Below are 22,644 nucleotides of genomic sequence, written 5' to 3'. Positions count from 1 at the left end.
ACTGTTCAACTCACCTGGCAGCCACTCCCAGAGCCCCTGGATCTCCAGCCCAAGGCTCCCTGACTGACTCCTTCCCAGATCTTCTTGGCTTAGCAGCTGCAGACCGACACTTCCCGATCGAACGCCTCGGAAGCCTACAGGACCATCACAGACGCTCTAGGTTACTCTCACTGTGGAGCGTAATTCCATCCCCTTCTTAATCGATACAGAGGCTACCCACTCCACATTACCTTCTTTTCAAGGGCCTGTTTCCCTTGCCTCCATAACTGTTGTGGGTATTGACAGCCAGGCTTCTAAACCTCTTAAAACTCCCCAACTGTGGTGCCAACATAGACAATACTCTTTTAAGCACTCCTTTTTCATTATCCCCACCTGCCCAGTTCCCTTATTAGGCCGAGACACTTCAACTAAATTATCTGCTTCCCTGACTATTCCCGGATTACAGCTACATCTCATTGCCACCCACCTTAACCCACAAGTAGAAGATACCTCTACTCCCTCCTTGGCGACCTATCATGCACCTCTTACCATCTCATTAAAACCTAATCATCCTTACCCAGCTCAATGCCAATATCTCATCCCACAGCATGCTTTGAAAGGATTAAAGCCTGTTATCACTCACCTGCTACAGCATGGCCTTTTAAAGCCTATAAACTCTCCTTACAATTCCCCCATCTTACCTGTCCTAAAACCAGACAAGCCTTACAAGTTAGTTCAGGATCTATGACTTATCAACCAAATTGTTTTGCCTATCCACCCCAAGGTGCCAAACACATATACTCTCCTATCCTCAATTCCTCCCTCCACAACCCATTATTCTGTTCTGGATCTCAAACATGCTTTCTTTACTATTCCTTTGCACCCTTCATCCCAGCCACTCTTCACTTTCACTTGGACTGAACCTGACACCCATCAGGCTCAGCAAATTACCTGGGCTGTACTGCTGCAAAGCTTCACAGACAGCCCCCATTACTTCAGTCAAGCCCAAATTTCTTCCTTCTCTGTTACCTATCTCCGCATAATTCTCATAAAAACACACATGCTCTCCCTGCCGATCGTATGTGACTAATCTCTCAAACCCCAACCCCTTCTACAAAACAACAACTCCTTTCCTTCCTGGGCATGGTTGGATACTTTCATCTTTAGATATCTGGTTTTGCCATCCTAATAAAACCATTATATAAACTCACAAAAGGAAACCTAGCTGACCCCATAGATCCTAAATCCTTTCCCCACTCCTCTTTCTGTTCCTTGAAGACAGCTTTAAAGACTGCCCCCACCCTAGTCTTGGTTCCCTGACCGGGAAGCGAGGTAATTGACGGAAAGTCGAGGCAGCCCGTTAGGTGGCTTAGGCCTGCCCTGTGGAGCATCCCTGCGGGGGACTCCAGCCAGCTTGAGCGACGCGGATCCTGAGAGCTCTCCCGGGTAAGAAATTGCCCCGGAGGAATGCCTCGTCAGAGCAGTGTGTGGTAGGCCCCCATGGAGGATCAACACAGTGGCTGAACACAGGGAAGGAAGAGGCACTTGGAGTCCGGACATTTGAAACTTGGTAAGACTGGTCTTTGGAACTTGCCCACTCCATTTGAGTGGAAGCGTGGCCTGATCACCCACGGCGTGCCTGTACTGGCACTTTGGTTTTTGTTTTTGACTTGACTTGAATTGCTTGATACTTTGGTTTTGGTTTGACCTGGCATGGATTTCTGGATACTCTGATTTTGGTTTTGATTCTGGTTTGGTGAAAACTGAAAAAGTGTGTGTGTGCCCTTTTTACCCATTCTTTGTTCTGTGGTGTGCGTGTGGTGTGAGCTTGGTGTTTTGTCTCGAGGAAACGTGGGTCAGATACAAAGTAAGCCTACTCCCCTAGGAACTATGTTGAAAAATTTTAAGAGAGGATTTAATGGAGACTTTGGGGAACTTAGAACTTTGTGTGAAATAGATTGGCCAACATTAGAAGTAGGATGGCCATCAGAAGGAAGCCTGGACAGGTCCCTTGTTTCTAAGGTATGGCACAAGATAACTGGTAAGTCAGGACACTCAGACCAGTTTCCACACATAGACACTTGGTTACAGCTGATGCTAAACCCCCCACAGTGGCTAAGAGGGCAGGCAGCAGCAGCGCTAGTAGCAAAGTGACAGATAGCCAAGGAAGGATCCCGCTCCACCCGCCGAGGGAAATCAACTCCTGAAGTTCTGTTCGACCCAGCATCAGAAGATCCATTGCAGGAGATGGCACCAGTGATCTCAGTGGTGCCCTCTCCTTACCAGGGAGGCAGGCTCCCCACTTTTGAGTCCACAGTGCTTGTGCCTCCACAAGACAAACATATCCCTAGGCCACCCAGAGTAGACAAGAGAGGAGGTGAGGACTCGGGAGAAACCCCTCCCTTGGCAGCTCGTTTAAGACCCAAAACGGGGACACAAATGCCCCTGAGAGAGCAGCGGTATACTGGGATATATGAGGATGGTCACGTGGTGGGGAGGCGTGTTTTTGGGTACCAGCCCTTCACCTCTGCCCACTTTCTCAACTGGAAAGACAATACCCCATCCTGTACCGAAAAGCCACAAGCTCTGATTGATTTGCTCCAAACTATTATCCAGACCCATAACCCCACCTGGGCTGATTGCCACCAGTTGCTCATGTTCCTCTTTAACACAGATGAAAGGTGGAGAGTGCTCCAAGCGGCAACTAAGTGGCTAGAGGAACATGCACCAGCTGATTACCAAAACCCCCAAGAGTATGTAAGGACCCAGTTACCAGGAACTGACCCCCAGTGGGACCCACATGAAAGAGAGGATATGCAAAGGCTAAACAGAGACAGGGAAGCTCTCTTGGAAGGATTAAAGAGGGGAGCCCAGAAGGCCACAAATGTTAACAAAGTCTCTGAGGTCATTCAGAGAAAAGAAGAAAGTCCAGCACAATTGTAGGAGAGTCTGTGTGAGGCCTATGGTATGTATACTCCCTTTGATCCCGATAGCCCTGAAAATCAAGGCATGATTAACATGGCTTTAGTTAGTCAAAGCGCAGAAGACATTAGAAGAAAACTGCAGAAACAGGCTGAGTTTGCAGGGATGAACACATCACAGTTATTAGAAATAGCTAACCAGGCGTTTGTAAACAGGGATGCAGTAAGCCGTAAGGAAAACTACAGAGACAATGAACGTCAGGCCCAGCGAAACACCGACCTGTTAGCGGCAGCAATCAGAGGGGTCCCCCAAAATAGGCAAGGGAAGGGGGGCCCTGGGAAGGAAACTCAGCCTGGCTGTCAGAGCTTGCAGCGTAATCAGTGTGCTTATTGTAAAGAAATAGGACATTGGAAAAACAAATGCCCTCAGCTAAAAAGAAAACAAGGTGACTCAGAGCAGGAGGCCCCGGACAAGGATGAAGGCACCCTGCTCAACCTGGCAGAGGGGTTATTGGACTGAGGGGGACTGGGCTCAAGGACCCCTAAAGAGCCTATGGTCAGGATGACAGTTAGGGGTAAAGACATTGATTTTCTTGTAGATACTGGAGCTAAACATTCGGTAGTAACCGCCCCGGTCACCCCCTTATCCAAAAAGATTATTGACATCATTGGAGCCACAGGAGTTTCAGCAAAGCAAGCTTTCTGCTTGCCCCGGACTTGTGCTGTAGGAGGACATAAAGTGATTCATCAGTTTTTGTACACACCTGACTGTCCCTTGTGCTTGTTGGGAAGGGACTTGCTTAGCAAACTGAGAGCCACTATCTCTTTTACAGAGCATGGCTCTTTGCTGCTAAAGTCATGGGCAGAAGACAACCCTCCAGGATTGGCCAGTTAAGCCTAGGGCCCAGCCGGTTAGGCAAAAACAGGAGCCGGTCCCCAGAGAAACTCTTGAAGGTATCCAGGTCCATCTCAAGCACCTAAGAACTTTTGGAATCAGAGTTCCTTGTCAGTCTCCATGGAACACTCCCCTCCTGCCTGTTCCCAAGCCTAAGACCAAGGACTACTGGCCGGTACAGGATTTGCGCTTGGTTAATCAAGCTACAGTGACTTTACATCCAGCAGTACCTAACCCGTACACATTGCTGGGGTTGCTGCCAGCTGAGGACAGCTGCTTCACCTGCTTGGACCTGAAAGATGCTTTCTTCAGCATCAGATTAGCCCCTGAGAGCCAGAAGCTGTTTGCCTTTCAGTGGGAAGATCCGGAGTCAGGTGTCACTACTCAGTACACTTGGACCGGGCTTCCCCAAGGGTTCAAGAACTCCCCCACCATCTTCGGGGAGGCATTGCCTCGAGACCTCCAGAAGTTTCCCACCAGAGACGTAGACTGCGTGTTGCTCCAGTACATTGATGATCTTTTGCTGGGACACCCCACGGCAGTCAGGTGCGCCAAGGGAACAGATGCTCTACTCCGGCACCTGGAGGACTGTGGGTATAAGATGTCCAAGAAAAAAGCTTAGATCTGACGACAGCAGGTACATTACTTAGGATTTACTATCCAAAAGGGGGAGAGCAGCCTAGGATCAGAAAGAAAGCAGGTCATTTGAAATCTACCGGAGCCTAAGACAAGAAGGCAGGTGAGAGAATTCTTATGGGCTGTTGGGTTTAGCAGACTGAAGATCCCAAACTTTGCAGTATAAGCCAAGCCTTTGTATGAGGTCACAAAGGGGTGGGGGGGGGGACAGGGAACGTTTTGAATGGGGATCCCAGCAACAGCAAGCCTTTCATGAGTTAAAGGAAAAACTTATGTCAGCCCCAGCCCTGGAGCTACTCGATCTAACAAAGCCTTTTCCATCGTATGTGTCAGAGAGAGAAAAGATAGCAGTTGGAGTTTTAACCCAAACTGTGGGGCCCTGGCTGAGGCCGGTGGCCTTCCTCTCTAAACAACTAGACGGGGTTTCTAAAGGATGGCCCCCGTGTTTGAGGGCCTTGGCAGCAACTGCCCTGCTAGTACAAGAAGCAGATAAGCTGACTCTTGGGCAAAACCTGAACATAAAGGCCTCCCGTGCTGTGGTGACTTTAATGAATACTAAAGGACATCATTGGCTAATGAATGCTAGACTCACTAAGTCCTAAAGTTTGCTCTGTGAAAATCCCCGTATAACCACTGAAGTTTGTAGCACGCTGAACCCCGCTACCTTGCTCCCAGTATCAGAGAGCCCTGTCGAGCATGACTGTGTAGAAGTGTTGGGCTCAGTTTACTCTAGCAGACCTAACCTCCAGGACCAGCCTTAGGCACCAGTAGACTAGGAACTATACGTGGCTGGGAGCAGCTTCATCAACCCACAAGGAGAGAGATGTGCAAGATATGCGGTGGTAACTCTGGACACTGTTGCTGAAGCCAGATCATTGCCCCAGGGCACTTCAGCTCAGAAAGCTGAAGTCATTGCTTTCATTCGGGCCTGAGAACTCAGTGAAGCTAAGAATGTCAACATTTACACTGACTCTCAATATGCCTTTTCAACCCTTCAAGTGCGTGGAGCATTATATAAAGAAAAGGGCCTATTGAACTCTGGGGGAAAAGACATAAAATATCAACAAGAAATCTTGCAATTGTTAAAAGCCATATGGAGACCCCACAAGGTGGCAGTTATGCATTGCAGGGGACAGCAGCGAGCTTCCACCTTGCTGGGTTTAGGGAATTCCCCCGCTGACTTAGAGGCTCGAAAAGCAGCGTCTGCCCCCTTCCGGGCATCAGTCACAGCCCCCATGCTCCCTCAAGCACCTGATCTTGTACCTACTTATTCTAAAGAAGAAAAGGACTTCCTCCAGGCAGAGAGAGGACAAGTGATGGAGGAAGGATGGATTCGGTTACCGGAAGGGAGAGAAGATGCGCCACAGCTGCTAGGAGCTGCAGTTGTACTGGCTGTGCATGAAACCACCCATCGAGGTCAGGAGTCAATTGAAAAGTTGTTAGGCCGGTATTTCTACATCTCGCATTTGTCAGCTCTTGCCAAAACGGTGACGCAGTGGTGTGTTACCTGCCCACAGCATAATGCTAGGCAATGTCCAGCCGTTCCACCCGGCATACAAGCTTATGGAGCAGCCCCCTTTGAAGATCTCCAGGTGGACTTCACAGAGATGTCAAAGTGTAGAGGTAACAAGTATTTACTAGTTCTTGGGCGTACCTACTCTGGGTAGGTGGAGGCTTATCCAACACGAACTGAGAAAGCTCGTGAAGTAACTCGTGTGCTTCTTCGAGATCTTCTTCCTAGATTTGAACTGCCCTTACGGATCGGCTCAGATAACAGGCCGGCATTTGTGGCTGACTTAGTACAGAAGGCGGCAAAGATATTACGGATCACATGGAAACTGCATGCTGCCTACTGGCCTCAGAGTTCCGGAAAGGTGGAGCGAATGAATCAAACTATCAAAAATAGTTTAGGGAAAGTATGTCAGGAAACAGGATTAAAATGGATACAGGCTCTCCCTATGGTATTATTTAAAATTAGATGTACCACTTCTAAAAGAGCAGGATATTCCCCTTATGAAATATTATATCATAGGCCCCCTCCTATATTGCGGGGACTTCCAGGCACTCCCTGAGAGTTAGGTGAAATTGAGTTACAGCGACAGCTACAGGCCTTAGGAAAAATTACACAAACAATCTCAGCCCGAGTAAATGGCCTGTTAGCTTATTCTCCCCAGTTCACCCTTTCTCCCCAGGTGATCGAGTGTGGATCAAGAACTGGAACGTAGCCTCTTTGTGTCCACTGTGGAAAGGACCCCAGACTGTCGTTCTGAGCCCTCCCACCGCTGTGAAGGTAGAAGGAATCCCAGCCTGGATCCACCACAGCCATGTAAAACCTGCAGCGCGTGAAACCTGGGAGGCAAGACCAAGCCCAGACAACCCTTTCAGAGTGACCCTGAAGAAGACGACAAGCCCTGCTCCAGTCACACCCGGAAGCTGACTGGTCCACGCACGGCCGAAGCCTGAGGAAGCTCATCGTGAGATTCATTTTTCTTAAATTTTGGACTTATACAGTAAGGGCTTCAACTGATCTTACTCAAACTGGGGACTGTTCCCAGTGTATTCATCAGGTCACCGAAGTAGGACAGCAAATTAAAACAATCTTTCTGTTCTATAGTTATTATGAATGTGTGGAAACAATAAAAGAAACTTGTTTGTATAATGCCACTCAGTGCAAGGTATGTAGCCCGAGAAATGACCGACCTGATGCGTGTTATAACCCATCTGAGCCCTCCGCAACCACCGTTTTTGAAATAAGAATAAGAACTGGCCTTTTCCTAGGTGATACAAGTAAAATAATAACTAGAACAGAAGAAAAAGAAATTCCCAAGCAAATAACTTTAAGATTTGATGCTTGTGCAGCCATTAATAGTAAAAAGCTAGAAATAGGATGTGGTTCTCTTAACTGAGAAAGGAGCTAAAGAGTAGAAAATAAATATGTTTGTCATGAGTCAGGGGTTTGTAAAAATTGTGCCTATTGGCCATGTGTTATTTAGGCTACTTAAAAAAAGAACAAAAAGGAACCGGTTTATCTTCAGAAGGGGGAAGCCAACCCCTCCTGTGCTGCCAGTCACTGTAACCCACTAGAACTAATAATTACCAATCCCCTAGATCCCCGTTGGAAAAAGGGAGAACGTGTAACCCTGGGGATCAATAGGACAGGGTTAAACCCTCAAGTTGCCATTGTAATTAGAGGGGAGGTCCACAAGTGCTCTCCCAAACCAGTATTTCAAACCTTTTATGAGGAGCTGAATGTGCCAGCACCAGAACTTCTGAAAAAGACAAAAAATTTGTTTCTCCAATTAGCAGAAAATGTAATTTTCTTACTTACATAACTGTTACTTCTTGTTATGTACGCGGAGGAACCACTATCGGAGACAGATGGCCTTGGGAAGCCCAAGAGTTGGTGCCTACTGATCCAGCTCCTGATATAATTCCAGTTCAGAAGGCCGAAGCTAGCAACTTCTAGGTCCTAAAAACCTCAATTATTAGACAATACTGTAGAGCTAGAGAAGGGAAAGACTTTATCATCCCTGTAGGAAAGCTTAATTGTATAGGACAGAAGTTGTATAACAGCACAATACAGACAATTACTTAGTAGGGCCTAAACCACACTGAAAAGAATCCATTTAGTAAATTTTCTAAATTAAAAACTGCTTAGGCTCATCCAGAATCTCATCAGGACTGGACGGTTCCCGCTGGACTATACTAGATATGTAGGCACAGAGCCTACATTCGGTTACCTAATAAATGGGCAGGCAGTTGTGTTATTGACACTATTAAGCCATCCTTTTTCTTATTACCCATAAAAACGGGTGAGCTCCTAGGTTTCCCTGTCTACGCCGCCCGAGAAAAGAAAGGCATAGTTATAGGAAACTGGAAGGAGAATGAGTGGCCCCCTGAAAGGATCATTCAGTATTATGGGCCTGCCACATGGGCACAAGACGGCTCATGGGGATACCGAACCCCCATCTACATGCTCAATTGGATCATACGGTTGCAGGCCATCTTAGAAATAATTACTAATGAAACTGGCAGAGCTTTGACTGTTTTAGCTTGGCAAGAAACCCAAATGAGGAATGCTATCTATCAGAATAGACTGGCCTTAGACTACTTGCTAGTAGCTGAAGGAGGAGTTTGTGGAAAATTTAACTTAACCAATTGCTGCCTACAAATAAATGATCAAGGACAGGTGGTTAAAAACATAGTCAGGGACATGACAAAGGTGGCACATGTGCCTGTACAGGTTTGGCACGAGTTTAATCCTGAGTCTTTATTTGAAAAATGGTTTCCAGCTATAGCAGGATTTAAAACCCTCATTGTAGGTGTATTGCTAGTGATAGGAGCTTGCTTGCTGCTCCCCTGTGTATTACCCTTGCTTTTTCAAATGATAAAAGGTTTTGTAGCTACTTTGGTTCATCAGAAAACTTCAGCACACGTGTGTTATATGAATCAGTATCGCTCTATCTCACCAATAGACTCAAAAAGTAAAGATGAGAGTGAGAACTCCCACTAAAAAGTGAAAATGCTCAAAGGGGGGAAATATGGTGTGAGACCACCACGTCTCCTGTTGTCCTTCCCAGTTTCTCCCCAACCTCCCCTTTTCCCTAGTTTGTAAGACAGCAAAAAAGGGAGAAAGCAAAAAGTTGGAAAAAACAGAAGTAAAATAAATAGCCAGATGACCTTGGCGCCACCACCTGGCCCTGGTGGTTAAAATGACAATAATATTAACCCCTGACCAAAACTACAGGTGTTATCTGTAAATCCCAGACATTGTATGAGAAAGCACTGTAAAAACTTTTTGTTCTGTTAGCTGAAGTATGTAGCCCCCAGTCACGTTCCTCAGGCTTACTTGATCTATTATGACTTTTTCACGTAGACCCTTTAGAGTTGTAAGCCCTTAAAAGTGCTAGGAATTTCTTTTTCAGGGAGCTCGGCTCTTAAGACACGAGTCTACCGACGCTCCCGGCCGAATAAAAAAACCTCTTCCTTCTTTAATCCGGTGTCTGAGGAGTTTTGTCTGCAACTCGTCCTGCTACACTAGCTCTCCGTGACTCATCCCAACCCTTTTCATTACACACAGCCGAAGTGCAGCGCTGTGCAGTTGAAATTCTTACACAAGGACCAGGATCGCGTCCTGTAGCCTTTTTGTCCAAACAACTTGACCTTACTGTTTTAGGTTGGCTGTCATGTCTCTGTGTAGCAGCTGCTGCCACCCTAATACTTTAAAGGCCCTTAAAATCACAAACTATGCTCAACTCACTCTCTACAGCTCTCATAATTTCCGAAATCTATTTTCTTCCTCACACCTGCCACATATACATTCTGCTCCCCGGCTCCTTCTGCTGTACTCTTTGTTGAGTTTCCCACAATTACCATTGTTCCTGGCCTGGACTTCAATCCGGCCTTCCACATTATTTCTGATACCACACCTGACCCTCATGACTGCATCTCTCTGATCCACCTGACATTCACCCCATTTCCCCACATTTCCTTCTTCCCTGTTCCTCACCCTGACCACACTTAGTTTATTGATGGCGGTTCCACCAGGCCTAATCGCCACACACCAGCAAAAGCAGGCTATGCTATAGAACAAGCCACCAGCCCGCCTCTTAGAACCTCTCATTTCCTTTCCATCGTGGAAATCTATCCTCAAGGAAATCACTTCTCAGTGTTCCATCTGCTATCCTACTACTCCTCAAGGATTCTTCAGGCCCACTCCCTTCCCTACACATCAAGCTCAGGGATTTGCCCCCACCCAGGACTGGCAAATTAGCTTTACTCAACGTGCCCCGAGTCAGAAAACTAAAATAACTCTTGGTCTAGGTAGACACTTTCACTGGATAGGTAGAGGCCTTTCCACAGGGTCTAAGAAGGCCACCACGGTCATTTCTTCCCTTCTGTCAGACATAATTCCTCAGTTTGGCTTTCCCACCTCTATACAGTCAGATAGCAGACCAGCCTTTATTAATCAAGTCAGCCAAGCATTTTTTCAGGCTCTTAGTATTCAGTGAAACCTTTATATTTCTTACAGTCCTCAGTCTTCAGTAAAGGTAGAACAGACTGATGGTCTTTTAAAAACACACCTTACCAAGCTCAGCCACCAACTTAAAAAGGACTGGACAATACTTTTACCACTTTCCCTTCTCAGAATTCAGGCCTGTCCTCGGAATGCTACAAGGTACAACCCATTTGTTGAGGGAAGTCAGGGACCCCAAACGGAGGGACCGGCTGAAGCCATGGCAGAAGAACGTGGATTGTGAAGATTTTATGGACATTTATTAGTTCCCCAAATTAATACTTTTGTAATTTCTTATGCCTGTCTTTACTGCAATCTCTAAACATAAATTGTAAAGATTTCATGGACACTTATCACTTCCCCAATCAATATCCTTGTGATTTTCTATGCTTGTCTTTGCTTTAATCTCTTAATCCTGTCAGCCAAGAAGGATTTATATCATCTCAGGACCTGTAATAATTGCGTTAACTACACAAATTGTACAGCATGTGTGTTTGAGCAATATGAAATGTGGGCACCCTGAAAAAAGAACAGGATAACAGCAATTGTTCAGGGAATAAGAGAGATAACCTTAAACTCTGACCGCCGGTGAGCCGGGCAGAACAGAGCCATATTTCTCTTCTTTCAAAAGCAAATGGGAGAAATATCGCTGAATTCCTTTTCTCAGCATGGAACGTCTCTGAGAAAGAGAATGCGCACCTAGCGATAGGTCTCTGAACTGGCCCCCCCAGGGCGTACCTGTCTCTTATGGTCGAGATTGCAGAAGTGAAATAAACTCCAGTCTCCCATAGCACTCCCAGGCTTATTAGGAAGAGGAAATTCCCGCCTAATAAACTTTGGTCAGACCGGTTGATCTCAAAACCCTGTCTCCTGATAAGATGTTATCAATGACAATGGTGCCAAAACTTCATTAGCAATTTTAATTTCACTTCGGTCCTGTGGTCCTGTGATCTCGCCCTGTCTCCACTTGCCTTGTGATATTCTATTACCTTGTTAAGTACTTGATATCTGTCACCCACACCTATTCGTATACTCCCTCCCCTTTTGAAACTCCCTAATAAAAACTTGCTGATTTTTGTGGCTTGTGGGGCATCACGGATCCTACCAAAGTGTGATGTCTCCCCCGGACGCCCAGCTTTAAAATTTCTCTTTTTTGTACTCTGTCCTTTTATTTCTCAAGCCAGTCGACACAGGAAAATAGAAAAGAACCTACGTGATTATCGGGGCAGGTCCCCCGATACCCATTGGATCTCCCCTATAGAAGCTCCTTTTTATTAGGCCCCAGTCTCATTCCAGACACAAGACCAACTTGGACTGTGCCCCAAAAAACTTGTCATCCCTACTATCTTCTGTCTAGTCATACTCCTATTCACCGTTCTCAACTACTCATATATGCCCTGCTCTTGTTTTCACTGGTGGTTTACACTGTTTCTCCAAACCATCACAGGTGATATCTCCTGGTGCTATCCCCAAACCACCACTCTTAACTCTTAAATAAATAATCTTTGTTGGCAAGGCTATGCTGAACCTCCTTAGGCACTCTCTAATTAGATGTCCTAGGTCCTCCCAATTCTTCGTCCTTTAATACCTGTTTTTCTCCTTCTCTTATTCCGTTTAGTTTTTCAGTTCATACAAAACCGTATCCAGGCCATCACCAATAATTCTACACGACAAATGTTTCTTCTAACAACCCCACAATATCACCCCTTACCACAAAATCTTCCTTCAGCTTAATCTCTCCTACTCTAGGTTCCCATGCCACCCCTAATCTCACTCGCAGCAGCCCTGAGAAACATCGCCCATTATCTCTCCATACTACCCCCAGAAATTTTTCACCATCCCAACACTTCACTACTATTTCATTTTATTTTTCTTATTAATGTACGAAGACAGGAATGTCAGGCCTCTCAGCCCAAGCTAAGCCATCATATCCCCTGTGACCTGCAAGTACACATCCAGATGGCCGATTCCTGCCTTAACTGATGACATTCCACCACAAAAGAAATGAAAATGGCCTGTTCCTGCCTTAACTGATGACATTATCTTGTGAAATTCCTTCTCCTTGCTCATCCTGGCTCAAAAGCTCCCCTACTGAGCACCTTGTGACCCCCACTCCTGCCTGCCAGAGAACATCCCTTTTTCCTTTACCTACCCAAATCTGATAAAATGGCCCCACCCCTATCTCCCTTCGCTGACTCTTTTTGGACTCAGCCCACCTGCACCCAGGTGAAATAAACAGCTTTATTGCTCACACAAAGCCTGTTTTGTGGTCTCTTCACACGGATGCGCATGAAAAGGAGTGTCCTTTTTTTTTTTTTTTTTGAGACGGAGTTTCACTCTTGTTGCCCAGGCTGGAGTGCAATGACATGATCTCAGCTCACTGCCACTTCCTCCTCTTGGGTTCAAGCAACTCTCTTGCCTCAGCCTCCCCAGTAGCTGGGATTGCAGGCATGTGCCACCATGCCCGGCTAATTTTGTATTTTTAGTAGAGATGGGGTTTCTCCATGTTGGTCAGGCTGGTCTCGAACTCCTGACCTGAGGTGATCCACCCGCCTCGGCCTCCCAAAGTGCTGGGATTACAGGCATGAGCCACTGTGCCCGGACAAAAGTGTCCTCTTATAAGGACACTTGTCTTCAGATGTACAGCCTACCTAAAATCCTCCAGGATAATCTCAAGATCCTTAATTACATCTGCAAAGAACCTTTTTCCAACTAATGCCACCTCCACAGATTCTAGGCACAAGGATCTGGATATATCTTGTGCAAAGCCACCATTCAGCTCACTACATTAGAAAGAGGAAATAATAAAAGGCGCAGAAGAAAGAACAGATGCAGTTTGTGTGGCAGTGGCCATCAAGGCAGGATGGGGTAAAACTGTGTTAACAGAACCCCCAGATGGAACTCAAGTGTGGCCGTCTACTCCCAGCTACTCACAGAGAACGTTTCTGTTTCTGACAGCAGAGTAAGAGAAGAGGTGGGAAGAGAGATAGCCCATTCTCTGTTGGCCTAATTCCTAAGGAATTGTGTCTCTGCCTTGGGGTCATTCTCAAGTCTTGTTCAAGGATAAAATGATTTATTGATGGCCGTAATTAAAAAGCAATGCCAACAGAAGCAGCCTCAGCATTTTTCATTTGTACTTACACATGAGCGAGAGCAGTTTAGGGAAACGGGTGCCTTCAGGTTCTGTTTTCTCCATCTAGAAAAGGGCTGCCTTCGTGGAATGCTGGTCCTGGGGAGACGCTTCATTTCTATAGCAGGAATTGATACAGTTTTAAATTCCGATTGGTACAAGGAGCTACCCGTCCTCATTTCAAGCACTTCTGGTTGTTCTGGGTTCAGTGGGTGAGCAATGAGTAGAACTCTGGGGAGGAGGATTTGGAGCGAGCGTGGTTTTGATCCCCAGAGGGAGCTGTTTTTCCATCAATGTCTTGACTGTGATTCAGAATGGGCTTCTCCGCTCAACATGGGAGTACTGGGCTGATTTAAGGCAGGTGATTGACTTGATTTGGTGACTACTTTTATACTAGCTGGTTAACGAGATATTTTCTTCATTAGTTTCAGGCATGTGAGCTTAATGAAGCATTGGACCTTCCAAATTACAAGGAAAATAAAGATATAGCTTATGTGGTAGGTTCAAAGGAGTTAGTGAACAAACACAGTAGGGCCACAAATTATTGTTAAAGACATGAATGCATGAAAGTGTATCTATGTCCAAATGGACTCTCCGCAACCATACTGTTCCACCTGAAAATTAGTAGATAGAAATTCAGCAAATGCTTGGACAGGGGATACTCTCAGAAGTATTCTGACTAAATAGCATGGCTTCTTTTCATATCACTAAAGTAATTTCTTCTCAGATTGACTCTGGACTAAATCTTGTGATACCTACTTGTTCTGATTGTACTTAGCCACCTGCAAATAAGTTGGGGGCAGTGGTAAGAGGAGCTGTTGAATGATATTAAACATTTGTTGAATGCCTACTGAGGATAAAGCCCTGTGCTTTGTGCCAGGGAGATTCCAGAATAAATGAGGCACAGACCTACTCTCAGGAAGCTTTTGCAAACTAATGGAGAAAACACATCTGCAGGCAATGACTTATGGTATAAGAGGAAATGGGGCCAGGTACGGTGACTCACACCTGTAATCCCAGCACTTTGGGAGGCCGAGGTAGGTGGATCACTTGAGGTCAGGAGTTCAAGACCAGCCTGGCCAACGTGGCGAAACACTGTCTATACTAAAAATGCAAAAAAAAAAAAAAAAAAAAAAAAAAAATTAGCCAGGCTTGATGGTGTGCACCTGCAATCCCAGCTACTTGGGAGGCTGAGGCACAAGAATCACTTAAACCTGGGAGGTGGAGACTGTAGTGAGCCGAGATCCCACCACTGCACTCCAGCCTAGAAGACAGAGTGAGACTCTGTCAAAAAAAAAAAAGGAAATAAGATTGGTGTTGAATGGGAAATCTAAGCAGGATGGAATGGCAGGAGAGGACCCACTTGCCCAGCTCCAATAACACTTTTGACAGCCAAGACAATATTGCAGGGACACCCATTCCTCATGGTATCTGAAGTCCCATGAAGGCTTGAGTCTGGAGGCTGGTTCAGTCTTGACTTTAAGATAAGGGGATACAAGGAATGATTTTCATCTATCCCAAGCCAATAGTCCAGCCAAAAATCTAGGTCTGAGATGATGAGAAAAAGCAAGTCATCAACCATGTCAGCCATTTCATCATCATCGTCATCATCATCATCATCATCATCATCATCATCAAAAACAAAAGACGGACCTGTAACCGTCTTGTGTGCCTGGCTCTTGCCTTAGTTCAAAATATAGAAGTAAATTCTATGGCCAGTGAACAATGACCAAAATAGCTCTCATCACTCTTGTCTGCCACCAAGTAAGACGTGCCTTTTTCCTTCCACCATGATTTCGGGACTTCTTCAGCCACATGGAACTGTGAGCCCATTAAACCTCTTTTTCTTTAAAAATTACCCAGTCTTGAGTAATAAAATAGTGGTTTGTCCACAACATCAATGAACGATGCTGTTACTTGTTCCAAACACGTATCATTTAGGAGGTTTGGATAAACAACAACCTAAAATAAATAAGCACTAAGCAAACTCAGGGCTACATAATCCCTGTGGTGAGATAACTGACAATGGGTACCACTGGGACAGTTTACTGTTAAATCACCTCTATCTACATGTGCCCAAGCAGTGAGATACTTGGTTTTAATCCTAAAATATCATGGTGCACATTTACTCCTGCCTCCCAACTGGGCTCTAGCGTCACCCCCTCAGAGAAGCCCGCTTTTCTGTGCTTCCACTCTGCTTTTTTTCAGCATTTAGCAGAGCATCAGTAACCATCCATATCTGGGAACAATGATTGTAAGAAACAGAAACCCATTTGCATGAGCTTGAGGACAAGGAGCAAACCTTATCTCTAACAGGAAAACTCATGGGCACAAGAAACATATGAGAGGCCATGAGAGAATGGAAACTGCAGTTACAGAAACCAAAATTCCTCTTTCTTGCTCTCAGAATTCCATGGTCTTTTTTTTTTTTTTTTTTTTTTTTTGTGAGATGCAGTCTCACTCTGTCGCCCAGGCTGGAGTGCAGTGGTGCAATCTCAGCTCACTGCAAGCTCCACCTCTCGGGGTTCACACCATTCTCCCGCCTCAGCCTCCCAATTAGCTGAGGCTACAGGCACCCGCCACCACACCTGGCTAATTTTTGTATTTTTAGTAGAGATGGGGTTTCACCGTGTGAGCCAGGATGGTCTCGATCTCCTGACCTCGTGATCCGACCATCCTGGCCTCTCAAAGTGCTGGGATTACAGGCGTGAACCACCGCGCCCGGAAGCCCATGGTCTTTCTTATCAGCCCTGTGGACTTTCTTATCTCCGCTTCTCTTACTCACAACCAATTTTCCCTTTTTGCTGGTGGTCCATCATGGCAGCCAGCAGAACCCACCACCAGCTTATCAGTCAGTTACTGGATATCTTGGAGAGGGAGGGAGAGAGGGAGAGAGGGAGAGGGAGAGAGAGAGAGAGAATGACAATTGGGCTTCTGGCCAACCAATTGAGTATAGGGAGGGGAATACCACGGTACAAATATGGCGCCAAGACCTGTTTTCCAGCATGGCCAGTGAGTAGGCAAATTGAGGGAAGGTACCTGCAAACACAGCAGACATCTCAGAACATGCTCTCTGTTCTTAGTTCTCTCTCCTGCCTTCTCCTAGATTGTAAATATCACAAGACAATCTAGGATAGTACCTGGCTCAAAATATTTGAGAAAGAGAAAAAGGAAGGCATTGGATCAAACTGTGGACTTCATGGTTTCCTAAATTCACTCTGCAAATTTTTGGGTTTTTTTTTTTTGAGACAGAGTCTCGCTCTGCTGCCCAAGCTGGAGTGCAATGGCATAATCTTGGCTCACTGCAACCTCCACCTCCCATGTTCAAGCAAATCCCCTGCCTCAGCCTCCTGAGTAGCTGGGATTAAAGGCACGCACAGCTACACCAGTTAATTTTTGTATTTTTAGTAGAGACGGGGTTTCACCATGTTGGCCAGGCTGGTCTCGAACTCTTGACCTCGTGATCCACCCACCTCGGGTGCCCAAAGTGCTGGGATTACAGGTGTGAGCCATCACACCTGGCCAACTTTGCAAGTATTTAAGTGAATGAATGTCAGTCCCTGAGAATCAGAATTTCTTGTGATTTAACGGCATTAAATCTCCATTAGGTTTAATCCTGGTCAGCAGCTGTGGGGTGTCCTGGGTTTGGGATCAGTGGGATGAGGAAGAAGCAGGTTCTCCAAAGCACCACGCAGGGAGGGGAGGTGTTAACTAGGCCAAAGATGATGGGCGGGGTACCTGCCTGGGTTTCAAACAGCTTATGCCAGGCCTAAAACCCGACGCTGAGGAAGAAACTGTATTAAGCAAATTGATGACATAATGGAGGGAGTCAAAAAGTTTAATATTGCTAAGAAGATACAAATATTGATCATGCAATATGTTATGGTTATCACGCCATCTCCTGCTACACGCCAGGTTTCCTTTATGATGAGATACAAGAGATTTGTGGATCTGACCTAACCCTCCAAATTGTAAGGTCCCTGAGAGTGGGTTCATGACATTCATGTTTTATAAATGTGGCATAAAGGCTCATGCTGGCTGCCATGTGGCCCAATGCCAGTTTGATGCTGCATTCAAAGAACCATCATTCCAGCATGCAAGCATACTTAAAGGCAATTGAAATGTTTACCGCCGTCCCTCAAGACAAACACCAAAGAAAAATTATTATCAAAATGCATAGCAACATTTCTTAAAATCTTATTTTCCCATCTCTTTCTCTCTCTCTCTACCACATTCCCAGGAGTTTCCCAGGAGCAAAACTTTCATGAAGACCCAGGAGCAAAATGATTAATGACTTCACTCTATCTGATTCTGATTTAGTTGGTTTAGAGTGGTGTCCGGACATACGTATTTTTTAAAATCTTGCCGGGCACAGTGGCACACACCCGGTCTCAGCTACTCAGGAGGCTGAGGCAGAAGAATCACTTGAGCCCAGGATTTTCAGTCCAGTCTGGGCAACATAGCAAGACCCTGTCTCTGAAAAAAAAAAAAGCAAAAACAAATCTCTCTCAGGTGCAGTCAGGGTTGATAACTAGTTGATCAAATAATTGTGGTAGCCATCCTTCACAATGGACCTTAATATTCCCACCTCCTGGTGTTATTCGTTGTGGAATCTGTCTTAGCTAGTCCTCAATTGGGTCTGGTATCCAGGCCCCACCTTGAGAGGCTAGTCCCACCTCCTACCCCACACATGGTTTTACAATTACTTTCAAGACTGGCCTAAAAATCTAAAATGTATTTTTTTGACCTTGTTTCCAATGAAACAACTATTCTAAACATTCATTTAGGATGGTTAGGGAAATTTGAACACCGGCTAAATATTAGAAGATATTTGCTTCAAAATAACCCAGCTTGGTAATGAGATGATGGCGGCTGAGGCTGGTGATAGGCACAGAGGGCTTCATTATCAAAAAGAAACAAGTGGAAAAAACAGAATTTTTCCATAATAAAAATGTAAGGTAAACACGAAAATGTATTGAGTGCATAAAAAGAATTTATGGTCTCACAGGCATTAGCTTATAATTTGAACATCAAAAATAAAAGTGACGGCCAGGTGCAGTGGCTGATGCCTGTAATCCCAGCACTTTGGGAGACCGAGGTGGGTGGATCACTTGAGCCCAGGAATTTCAGACCAGCCTGAGCAACATAGTGAGACCCCCATCTCTAAAATAAATAAATATAAATAAAAGTGACTAGAATTGATTATAGAACATCAACTCGATTTGAGTCTATAAAGATTACTGGTGGAGGGGGGCAATGGGGAGAAGGAGAAAGAGAATATATTTGTGACCTAGATTATTTTCCTTAGTTTTGAGAGAATCTTCGGGTCTCCTGGGTCTTCTAGCCCAGTATTTATTTTTATTATTTATTTATTTATTTATTTATTTATTATTTTTTTAGATGGATTCTCACTCTGCCACCAGACTGGAGTGCACTGGTGCGATCTCGGGCCACTGCAGCTTCTGCCTCCCAGGTTCAATCTATTCTTCTGTCTCAGCCCCCCAAGTAGCTGGGACTACAGGTACCTGCCGCTTCACCCAGATAATTTGTTTTTTTTTTTTTTTTTTTGAGACAGAGTCTGGCTCTGTTGCCCAGGCTGGAGTGCAGTGGTGCAATCTCGGCTCACCGCAAGCTCCACCTCCCAGGTTCATGCCATTCTCCTCCCTCAGCCTCCCGAGTAGTTGGGACTACAGTCACCTGCCACCAAGCCCGGCTAATTTTTTTGTATTTTTAGTAGAGACAGGGTTTCACCGTGTTAGCCAGGATGGTCTCGATCTCCTGACCTCGTGATCTGCCCGCCTCAGCCTCCCAAAGTGCTGGGATTACAGGCATGAGCCACTGTGCCCGGCCGCACTCAGCTAATTTTTGTATTTTTTGTAGAGATGGTGTTTCACCATGTTGATCCAGGCTGGTCTCAAACTCCTGACCTTAGGTGATCCGCCCGCCTTGGCATCCCAAAATACAAGGATTACAGGCATGAGCCACCACACCCTGCCTATTTTCCTTAGTTTTCAGAGAACCTTTGTGTCCCCTGGGTGTTCTAGCCCAGTATATCTCAAACTTTGCTGCACTGAGGACCTTGTTGAAATGCAGGTTCTCATCGCGAGGCTCAGTGGGCCGGCAAATCTGCACTGGTTTAGGAAGCTCACCCTGAGTACCAAGCTTCAGTGAGGACCAGGCAGGCCCCTGCCTGCCAACGCCCTCTCAGCTGGGCTTAACTCTGGCTCTCTCCTGCCAGGGTTCCTCCCCTCAAAATAGGAGCTATTTTCAAAAGGTCTCTTGGAAAAAAAGCCCTGTTTTAAAATTGGGGTGTTCAGGATTGGCCATCTGCTCACCATGGGGTTTTAAGACCTTTGCCCAGACCCCTGCAACCAACTCAGAACTGACATCTTTACTTTTGAAGGCCCCACTCCACACCATATTAAATTCATTAAAATCAACCGCCATTACAGGCATCTCTCAGGCATCACGCCCTCAGAACGGAGTTGCAGCTGACCACTTGACAGTGTTGTAAAGCATTAAACAAGCATTCATTTCAGCCTTGCAGTTTGCACATTTAGAAGCCAATTGTCTTAGGTCTAAAGCATTCATGTCGAAACATTTTTATGGGCCCCAGACACTATGCTTTCCAGCCTTAATGGCCTCTGCAATGCTGGTTCCTACCGCCCCACCCCTGGGTTCTGGCCGGCTGGCCCACGCCACCTCACTGCTCCCCCATTCAAGTGTGCCTTCGATGTGTGGTTTCCAAACTCATCTACACTTTAGGGTCACCTGGGATTTTTTTTAAATCTTCCAAAACCCAGGCCACACCCAAGAACAATTAATCCTCAACCTCCGGAATGGGACATAGCATCAGTTTTTTGTTTTGTTTTTGAGACAGGGCTTCGCTCTGTTACCCAGGCTGGAGTACAGTGGCACAATCATAGCTCACGACAGCCTCCAACTCCTGGGCTCAAGAAACCCTCCCACTTCAACCTCCACGGTAGCTGGGATCACAGGCGGGCACCACAACGCCTGGCTAATTTTTAAATTTTTTATAGAGACATTATCTCCCTACGTTCTCCAGGCAGGTCTCAAACTCCTGGGCTCAAGCGATACTCCCGCCTCAGCCTCCCAAACTGCTGGGATTATAGGCATGAGCCACCATGCCTGGACATCAGCATCTGTATTTTTTGAAGCACAGACGAGTTTGGGATCTACCGCGCTAGACTGAGCTCGGTTTCCCAGCCCTGTCTGACCATAGGATTTGGCTGGGCTGCTTCTGAAAACAGAGCTCCCCAGGCTCCTTCCCAGGTAATTCTGATTCATTAGGTCTGGGGTGGGCCCCGGAATGTGCATTTTTTATGAGATCCCTCTGGGTGAATCAGGCTAAAGCCAGTTTGGGATCTGAGACCTTGGAGATCATTCCCCAGCTTCCCTCCTAACCCAGTTCCCAGCTTGGCCCACCTCACCCAGGCTGTGTCACATCTGACTTCGCAGATTACACCTGAGAGGGAAGCCCCAGCCATCACAATGCGAGAACATTTTCCAATGACGAGGAAATGCCAAATACATTTTAAAACTCATTCAGGATTAGCGTTCACCTTAAACTTGACAGACTCTGAGAATGGGCTGGCCACATGCTGTGCGCAACCCTTAGTGCTCTTCTGTGACTAATATTTGGATAATTGATTGTTGGAAGCTCAGGAAGCCTCTCTCAGAGGGTTGAAGTTAACTTCTTTATTTCTGAGGTAGGGAAGAAAATGAGGATGTTCTGCCTTTTGCTAGACTGAATACTGTCCTCCAAAAATTCACATTCACCAGGAATCCCAGAATGTGACCTTATTAGAAAATAGGGGCAGGGCATGGTGGCTCATGCTTGTAATCTTAGCACTTTGGGAGGCTGAGGCAGGAGGATCACTTGAGGTCAGGAGTTCGAGACCAGCCTGGCAAGCATGAAAAAACGCTGTCTCTACTAAAAACACAAAAATTAGCTAGGCATGGGGGCGTGCAACTGTAATCCCAGCTACTTTGGAGGCTGAAGCTGAAGAATCACTTGAACCCAGGAGGCAGAGTTGCAGCGAGCTGAGATTGTGTCACTGAACTCCAGCCTGGGCAACAGAGCAAGACTCCATCTCAAAAAAAAAAAAGAAAAGGAAATAGGGTCTCTGCAGATCTAATTACAAAAAGGTCATACTGGAATAGCGTGGACCTTAAATCGAGTAATAATGGCATTCCTCATGGGAAGAGGAGACAGAGACACGCAGGGGAGAAGGCCACATGAGAATGAAGGAAGAGAATGGAATGATGTGGCCACAAGCCAAGGATTGCCAGCAACCACCAGAAGCCAGAAGAGGCAAGGAAGGACTCATCCCTAGAGCCTTCAGAGGGAGCACGGCCCTGCCGTTTCAGATATCAAGCTTCTGGAACTGGAGAGAATGACTTTCTGTTGTCCTGAGCCACCCATTTGGGGAACTTTGTTAGAACAGCCACAGCCAGCTCATGTGCTCCTGAATGCATCTCAGGCATTAATAAACACTGTCTTGACCAGTCTGGGTGGCTCACCCCTGTAATTCCAGCACTTTGGGAGGCCAAGGCAGGCGGATCACTTGAGGTCAGGAGTTCGAGACCAGCCTGACCAACATGGAGAAACCCCATCTCTACTAAAAATACAAAAATTAGCTGGGCGTGGTGTTGCGCACCTGTAATCCCGCTACTTGGGAGGCTGAGGCAAGAGAATCACTTGAATCCTGGAGGCAGAGGTTGCAGTGAGCCGAGATTGTGCCATTGTACTCCAGCCTGGGCAACAAGAGCGAAACTCCGTCTCAAAAAAAATAATAAGTACTGTCTTGACTGTGGTCATCAAAAATATTTGATTAAGGGTTAGCTAGAAAGCCTGCCCCTTTCACAGATGGACAGAAGGGCCAAAAGAAAATAGATTGTTTGCACTGGGGCAAGAAGGATAAGAATCCTATGGGAAAAAAAGAGGGATTTGTTTAGTGAGCGCTGGAGAGAGGCATTTGTTTTTTTGCTTAAAAAAGAAACACAGGTTGGGTGCGGTGGCTCAAGCCTTAATCCCAGCACTCTG

The 22,644-nt window shown here is 46.0% G+C and overlaps 1 long non-coding RNA gene and 1 pseudogene across 1 annotated transcript; both read left to right on the top strand.

Annotated features, from left to right (window-relative positions):
- The window catches only part of ENPP7P15 (ectonucleotide pyrophosphatase/phosphodiesterase 7 pseudogene 15), a 70,864-nt pseudogene that overhangs the window by 17,625 nt on the left and 30,595 nt on the right, over window positions 1-22,644 (top strand).
- On the top strand, window positions 5,924-9,426 carry LOC105376526 (uncharacterized). Its single transcript, NR_169525.1, has 2 exons — window positions 5,924-6,054; window positions 6,624-9,426. It is a non-coding gene; the product is annotated as an uncharacterized LOC105376526 (long non-coding RNA).

Source organism: Homo sapiens, chromosome 11 (genome assembly GCF_000001405.40).
Source record: "Homo sapiens chromosome 11, GRCh38.p14 Primary Assembly".
NCBI classification, from domain to species: Eukaryota; Metazoa; Chordata; class Mammalia; order Primates; family Hominidae; genus Homo; species Homo sapiens.
Note: the sequence above shows the minus strand (reverse complement) of the source record. Positions and strands in the feature narration are given on the sequence as shown.